This window comes from Homo sapiens, chromosome 16 (genome assembly GCF_000001405.40).
Source record: "Homo sapiens chromosome 16, GRCh38.p14 Primary Assembly".
Taxonomy (NCBI): domain Eukaryota; kingdom Metazoa; phylum Chordata; class Mammalia; order Primates; family Hominidae; genus Homo; species Homo sapiens.
In genome coordinates this window covers 46,945,326-46,954,208 of record NC_000016.10, presented here as the reverse complement: position 1 = coordinate 46,954,208, position 8,883 = coordinate 46,945,326, and positions in this window count along the sequence as shown.

The following is an 8,883-nucleotide window of genomic DNA, read 5'->3' as shown; positions in this document are numbered from 1 at the left end:
ATTGTAAGCACTGTACACTTAGGATACACTACATTTGTAAAACCTTTTTCTAAAATCATAATTGAGGCTGGGCATGGTGGCTCGTGCCTGTAATCCTAGTACTTTGGGAGGCCCAGGCAGAAGGACAGCTTGAGCCCAAGAGTTCAAGACCAGCCTGGGAAACATAGAGATCCCATCTCATAATTTTTTTTTTTTTTTTTTGAGACGGAGTCTTGCTCTGTTGCCCAGACTGAAGTGCAGTGGCGCAATCTCAGCTCACTGCAACCTCCACCTCCCGGGTTCAAGCAATTCTCCTGCCTCAGCCTCCCAAGTAGCTGGGACTACAGGCGCGTGCCACTACGCCTGGCTAATTTTTGTATTTTTTAGTAGAGACGGGGTTTCACCATGTTAGCTAGCATGGTCTCGATCTACTGACCTCAGGTTATCTGCCCACCTTGGCCTCTCAAAATGCTGGGATTACAGGTATGAGCCACTGTGCTCGGCCATCAAAAGTCTTGTAAATAATCTTCAGTTGCAAAAGATTTCGTAAAATTAGGAAGCCCACATCACCTGGCACAGACTTCTAGGGAACATTTTAAGTATGGTTGGTTATTTTTAATTTCCAAAAGAAGTTCAGTTAAATCTCTGGTCAAAGTGAACCATTAGCCAGTGCCACTGTGAGTCAAGCTAAACACGTTAGAAAACCTGACTTCTGCTGAGCGCAGTGGCTCACGCCTGTAATCCCAGCACTTTGGGAGGACCAGGCAGGCGGATCATGAGGACAGGAGATCGAGACCATCCTGGCTAACACGGTGAAACCCCGTCTCTACTAAAAATACAAAAAAATTAGCCGGGCATGGTGGCACACACCTGTGGTCCCAGCTACTTGGGAGGCTGAGGCAGGAGAAGCTTGAACCCACGAGGCAGAGGGTGCAGTGAGCCAAGATTGCACCCCTGAACTCCAGCCTGGGCAACAGAGCGAGACTTTGTCCCAAAAAAAGAAAGAAAACCTGACTTCCCAGCTATAGGAAGAAAAGAACCTGAGAAAGCTTATACCAGTGGTGGGTTGAGAATCTTCAGTGATGAAGCTTACCATTCTATGTGTGAATAGGTATCCCCTTTCATAATCTACAAATAGTATACAAATTATTTTTTTCTGTTAGGAAAGCAATACATGATCGTTAAAAAAACATAGAACTATCGACTTTAAAAAATTAATCTCCCCCAATCCAAATCATGTGCTCATGAGACTATCAACACAAAGTTGGTTTTTTGTTTTTGTTTTTGTTTTGTTTCATTTTGTTTTTTTCTTGAGACGGAGTCTCCCTCTGTCACCCAGGCTGGAGTGCAGTGGTGCAGTCTTGGCTCACTGCAACCTCTGCCTTCTGGGTCCCAGCGATTCTCCTGCCCAGCCTCCTGAGTCGCTGGGATTACAGGCATGCGCCACCACGGCTGGCTAGATTTTTGTGTTTTTGTAGAGACGGGTTTTCACTATGTTGGCCAGGCTGGTCTTTAATTCCTGACCTCAAGTGATCTTCCCGCCTTGGCCTCCCAAAGTGCTGGATTACAGGTGTGAGCCACCACGCCCGGCCTTGGTCTTTTTTTTTGTTTTTAATACATATAGAACTAAATTTTCCAACCTGTTCCCAGATGCAATCATTTTTACCAATTTCTCACATGTGTGTATGCAAAAATGGGATAAAATAACTTATTTTTACAACTTTTGGTCTTATTATTCCTTTGGCATATTTGCATAGTAATACATAAAGATCTATTTTTAATGATTTTAAAGTTCTGTTGTTTGAATGAACCATTTCCTACCTATTGATAGATGTTCGAATTGTTTCCAGTTATTACAAACAATGCTGTGGGTAACAGCTTCATACATATGTCGTTGTGCATTTGTACACAATGCTTCAAACCAGATTACAAAGTTAAGCTTCTAGTGCATAGAACGCTGGCATATAGTAGAACCTAAATAAATATTTATGAATGAAGGAAGTGCTTCTTGACCTCTTAAACCAAATCTAAGATCTGGAAGATCTGAAATAATGATCTAAATCCCTGCAAAGGAGCTCTAGAAAAAACAATACATCCCTGTTAGCACATGAGGATTAGGGGACAGAACCAAAATATATTTTACAAGAATATAGTGCAACACGGTTGGGCACTGATTTCTTAACTTCTTCACCACAAGGACCTCATGCAGGAATATTTTGCTTGGCAAACAAGTAATGATTACTTACATTTTTACTTTTTTTTTTTTTCTTTTAATGGAGACAGGGTCTCATGCTCACCGGACTGGAGTGCAGTGACACAAACAAAGCTTACTGTAGCCTCGACCTCCTGGGCTCCAGTGATCCCCCTGCCTCAGCCTCCTGTGTCACTGGGACCACAGGTACGTGCCGCCATGCCTGGCTAATGTTTTTACCTATTTAGGCACAATTTTAAGTCCTGAAAGCTATGATGTGACTCACAGCAAAATCAAGCCTATAAAATGGGGATCTATGTTTAAAAGGGGATCTACTTAATTTTAGAGAACGCAAGATTTAGTGAAGGAGAATGCCTGTATAGACACCTCCTGAAAAAATACAGGTATTCTTGTAGGGAAACATCCACCCGAAGACAGCCCAGTACCAAGCTTTATGTGCTAATCCTGATGTCATTGGGAAGCTGGGTTCCCCTGTTGGCAACTGATTCCAGCTGGACTCATTTACAATGTTCTGGCCTTGCCCAGGCATCTAAAGCTCGATTCCAGAGAGCTCACTGGGAGAGTTGAGCTGTTCCCTCTGAAGGTATAGCCTGTCCCTAGCCCCAAGCCCTCCTGATTCCCAGGCTTTCCAAACAAGCCTGTTAATGTGGGTAGCAGTGGCATGACAGAACAACATGGTGAAACTCCATCCAAATCTTTTCTCACCTCATTGGCTCAGGGACATGTCTTATGGCTGAAAGTCGCTAGCTTCTAGGTCCTAAGATCTGACCTTAGGACCAGAGACCTCTGAGCTAGAGAGGTCTAGCATGATCCTGGACATCAGTCAGTAGCTGGACACCCAGAATCATCCTCCCAGGAATAACAGAGAGAGAGTGTTGGATCTTCCATGTGTATCCTGACAGTTTAGAGATGTTCATGACAATGGCTTCACTACAGAAGTTTAGGCTTTGAATGCTTCATTACTGGCTATCAAAGAAAGGAGATTCAACATTTTAAAAAATTTTTATTAATGATTGATTGATTGATTGAGATGGAGTTCTGCTCTTGTAACCCAAGCTGGAGTGCAATGGCGCGATCTCCGGTCACTGCAACCTCTGCCTCCTGTGTTCAAGTGATTCTCCAGCCTCAGCCTCCCAAGTAGCTGGGATTACAGGCACCCGCCACCATGCCCAGCTAATTTTTGTATTTTTAGTAGAGACGAGGTTTCACCATGTTGCCAGGCTGGTCTCAAACTCTTGACCTCAGGGGATCTGCCCGCCTTGGCCTCCCAAAATGTTGGGATTACAGGCTTGAACTACCACTCTTGCTCTGTTGCCCAGGCCAAGTGCAGAGGCTCGACCTCCTGGGCTCACTGCAGCCTCCGGATAAAATGAAACCCTCTGACTCCTCACCTTTAGGGTGGCTTAGATCTCAAAGACTTTGTCCACAGAGTTTCCTTATCTTCCTTATATTGACTCACAGAGGACCACTGACTACATTTGCCCAACACAGGAGGCTGAGGCAAGAAAATCACTTGAACTCGGGAGGCAGAGGTTGCAGTGAGCCGAGATCAAACCATCATACTCCAGCCTGGGTGATAAGAGCGAGATTCCATCTCAAAAAAAAAAAAAAAAAAAAAATCCAGAGGTTGGCCTAAGAAATTAGAGTAGGCACAGAAGAAGTAAAACCTCAGCACATGAGCTCCCCAGTATGTACCATACTTATCTTTAAGGTCCTGGGCTTAAACCCCTGATATACTAAATAGATCCACAGAGAGAAAGAACTTTGTTCCACCCAAATAAACTGGATCCCCAGACCAGGCTGGTCACCTCATTTCCCTTTGTTTGCTTTAAGAGGACAGAAAAGACTATGCCAGGAGAATTTGGAGCTTAACATGGGCGTTATTTTTGTATTTTTGCCAGCTGTATTCAATTCCCTTTCTTTGGGTAATTGCATTCTGATTTTCCTCTAAAGTCAGGGGTCAGCAAACCACAGTCCAGGGGCCAAATGCAGCCTACCCCCTGCTTCTGTAAATAAATTGTATTGGAATACAGCCATGCTTATTCTTTTACATATTTACTATGATGCTTGCATACTACGATGGCAGGGTCAAGCGGCTGCAACAAAGACCATATATTCTGCAAAGCCTAAAATATTTACTACCTGGCTCTTTATAAGGAAAGGTGTAACACTTCTGCTCTCAGGGACCACAACCTTACTGACTCTCAATCCTTGTGAATCAGAACTAACCTGTAATTTATCCACTAATAAATTTCCTCTTCTGTTTGAGTAGGGTTTTCTGTCACTTGGCAACCAGTTGAGTCCTACCTGATACAAGGTTGGCTGAGCAGAAATCACTCTTTCTACTGGCCTGGCTTAAAAAAACACCCGCCCAGAGAAATGGCATCATAGATAGGCAGGAATTATGTTCCTTTCCCCAGAAGCTGCAACTTGTTTTCTGCTAATGCAATCAAATATTTGAAATAGGGAGTTTCCCAGAAAATGCCAGGTTATGGTCACCATCCGGTGGTGCCTCATTTATGTACTGACAGCGGAAAATGACAAGTGTGTGTGTCTGGTGAGGGAGCAGTAGCACTATTGACTAACAGGTAGAGCAAGAGATGGATACTGGCTGCCTCCACATCTCGGGGTGTGGACTGTGTCGCAACAGCCAACCAGCATCATGGAATAATTTGTCTGTAGCAGGCTCAGCACTTAGTGTTTTACACGTGTTATGTCACACAAAACCCACGACCACTCTGTAAGGTAGAAATTATTACTGCCCCAGTTTACAGATGAGGAAGCCAAATATCTGATATATTGGCCGGGCGGTGGCTCACGCCTGTAATCCCAGCACTTTGGGAGGCTGAGGTGGGTGGATCACTTGAGGTCAGGAGTTTGAGACCAGCCTGGCCAACATGGTGAAACCCCATCTCTACTAAAAATAGAAAATTAGCCGGGTGTGGTGGCACATGCCTGTCTGTAGTCCCAGCTACTTGGGAGGCTGAGCCAGGGAGGCAGAGGCTGCATTGAGATCGTGCCACTGTACTCCAGCCTGGGCAAGACAGAGTGAGACTCTGTCTCAAAACAAACAAACACCAAATATCTGAGATATTGAGGAATTTCAGAAAGGTCACATGGCCAGGAAGTGATCAAGAGGGGATTCCAATTCAAGTCCAAACTCCAAAGCTCATGTGCTTCAACACGATGCTTTACAACCAAGTCAACAAACCCTGAAGAAGTAGCAACTCTTTTCTCTACACTTCAGCAAAGGTCCTGGGTAGGGTCTTATTGGTCTGGTGTGGGTTTTGTGCCATCCTTGCACCAATCACTGTGGTTAAGGTGCACATCGTGCATTGAACAGCAGGGCCTGGGTCACATGCCCAACCATGAGGCTGAGGTGGGCCTATTCTCTTCTAAATGATCTGACAGTGGCAGTGCCAGCCTTTCCATGTAAAAGGGGCTTGGGACTTGAAGGACACAGCAATTTATGCATTGGAGAAACATCTATTGTCCACATTAAAGAATACAGCAAGGAGGGGTAGGGTTTCAAAGACGAAAGCCTCTGTTGAGCATTCCTAGATGCCAGGTACTGTTTACGAGCTGTGTGCCCCAGACATTTTGCACTTTCATCTTAGGAAGCGGAAACTGCTAAGGTGGAGGACTAGGGTTTGCTTAAAAACAAAACAAGCTGGGCGCAGTGGCTCATGCCTATAATCTCAGCATTTTGGGAGGCCGAGGCAGGCAGATCACTTGAGGCCAGGAGTTCCAGATCAGCCTGGCCAACATGGTGAAACTCTGTCTCTATTAAAAACACAAATATTAGCCAGATGTGGTGGCACACACCTATAGTTTCAGCTACTTGAGAGGCTGAGGCGGGAGGTTCGCTTGAACCCAGGAGGCAGAGGTTGCAGTGAGCAGAGATCATGCCAGTGCACTCCAGCCTGGGCAGAGTGAGAACCCTGTCTCAAAAAAAATTTTTTTTAAACCCCACAGCACTGCAGATGGGGATCACATAGGTGACCAGCTCCCCCTGGTGCTTAAACAGTTTTTCATCCAGAAGTTTCCTTTTTAGACTTTTATCATGGGGAAGTATGGCTGTGCAACAAGATTGAACACAAGAATGGTTATTGAAACATTGTCAATAATGGTGAGAAGTTGGAAATAACCTGAACATCTCCCGTTAAATTTTGTTATGTCCATTCAATGCATAATGTGTAGTTATTAAAAAGCAAGGTTGAGACCCTGTGTGAAAAAAAAACACAAAAAGGCATAGAGTGCCTGAATGGATAAAGATGTAAGTGAACAGACAACTCAGAATGGAAGAAAATATTGCAGACTGTCCATCTGACAAAGAATTAATAACCAGAGTGTATAAGGAACACAAATAACTCAACTGCAAAAAAAAAAAATTATTTAAGAAGGGGGAAGATCTGAATAGACATTTCTCAAAAGAAACCTACAAATGGCCTACAGGTGTATGAAAAAATGCTAATTACTAGTCATCAAGGAAATGCAAATCAAAACCACAAGGAGGGCCGGGCGCGGTGGCTCACGCCTGTAATCCCAGCACTTTGGGAGGCCGAGGCAGGGGGATCACTTGAGGTCAAGAGTTCAAGACCAGCCTGGCCAACACGGTGAAACCCTGTCTCTACTAAAGATACAAAAATTTAGCCAGGCATGGTGGCACATGCCTGTAATCCCAGCTACTCAGGAGGCTGAGGCAGGAGAATCACTTGAACCCGGGAGATATATTTGAAGACAGCTAAAAGAAAATAATTCAAAATTCAAACTTTTCTTTTTTTTTTTTTTGAGACAGAGTCTTGCTCTTGTCGTCCAAGCTGGAGAGCAATGGCACGATCTCGGCTCACTGCAACATCCACCTCCCAGGTTCAAGTGATTCTCCTGCCTCAGACTCCCGAGTAGCTGGGATTACAGGCGCCTGCCACCACGCCCAGGTACTTTTTGTATTTTTAGTAGAGATGGGGTTTTGCCATGTTGGCCAGGCTAGTCTCGAACTTCTGACCTCATAATCCATCTGCCTTGGCCTCCTAAAGTGCCGGAATTACAGGCATGAGCCATCACATCCAGCCTATTAATTCAAACTTTTCTAGTGGAAAGAAAAGACCAGTGGCCTAGAATGGTGGCTCATGACTGTAATCCCAGCACTTTGTGAGGCTGAGGCAGGAGGATCACTTGAGGCCAGGAGTTTGAGACCAGCCTGGGCAACATGGCAAGATCCTGTCTCTATAAAAAATAAAAAATCTTAGCTGGGTGTTGTGGTGCACACCTGTAGTCCCGGATACTCTGGAGGCTGAGGCAGGAGAATGGCGTGAACCCAGGAGGCGGAGCTTGCAGTGAGCAGAGATCGCACCACTGCACTCCAGCCTGGGCGACAGAGCGAGACGCCGTCTCAAAAAAAAAAAAAATGCGTTCACAACTGTTCTGATGGAATACGCACAAAGTCGAAAGTAATGATTTTCTCTGGGTTTGAGGATTATGGGTGTTTAAAAACATTTTTATTATAAAAATTTATTATAAAATTATACACAGCCTGGGCACGGTGGCTCACGCCTGCAATCCCAGCATCCTGGGAGGCCAAGGCAGGTAGATCACTTGAAGTCAGGAGTTTGAGACCAGCCTGGCCAACATGGTGAAACCCTGTCTCTACTAAAAATAGAAAAATTAACTGGGTGTGGTGGAGTGTGCCTGTGGTCCCAGCTACTCGAGAGGCTGAGGCAGGAGAATCGCTTGAACCGGGAGGTGGAGGTTGCAGTGAGCTGAGATCATGCCACTGTACTCCAGCTCAGGTTACAGAGTGAGACTCAGTCTCAAACATAAAAAAAAAAATTATACACAAAAGTAGAGAGAATAATATAATGAACCTCTATATGGCCATTGCCCCAACTGATTCATTAATTATTTTTTATTTTGCCACACTTGTTTTACTTATTATTATTATTATTATTATTTGCAAACTGATCCCTCTCTCCTGAAGTATGTTATTTATTTAGAGACAAGGTCTCACCTGTCGCCCAGGCTACAGTACAGTGGCACAATCTTGGCTCACTGCAGCCTCAAACTCCTGGGCTCAAGGGATTCTCCCACCTCAGCCTCCCACGTAGTTGACATTACAGGTGTGGGCCACCACACTGGCTAATTTTTGTATTTTTTTTGTAGAGATGGGGTTTCGCCATGTTGCCCAGGATGGTCTCAAACTCCTGGGTTCAAGCAATCCTCCTGTGTCCAAGCAATCCTCCTGTGTCCAAGCAATCCTCCTGTGTCCAAGCAATCCTCCTGTGTCCAAGCAATCCTCCTGTGTCGGCCTCCCAAAGCACTGGGATTACAGGAGTGAGCCACTGGCCCCTGGCTTGGAAGTATTTTAAAACAAATGCTACACCTCACTGATTTTTATTCCTACATAACGTCAACATGCATCTTTTTGAAGGACATTTCTTATGTGTTTCTGATGTCATTATAATACAACAAAATAAACAACCCTTCGTATTCCGCACTACTTGGATTATTTCACATTTTCATGATTCTCCTTTCTTTTTCTTATCTGCATTTCCTAATTTTTTACAATAAACATAACATATATTATTTAAAAACAACATCTATACAAAAATTAGCCCGACCTGGTAGTGTGCACCTGTAGTTACAGTTATTAAGGAGGCTGAGGTGGGAAGATCCCTTGAGCCTGGGAGTTCAAG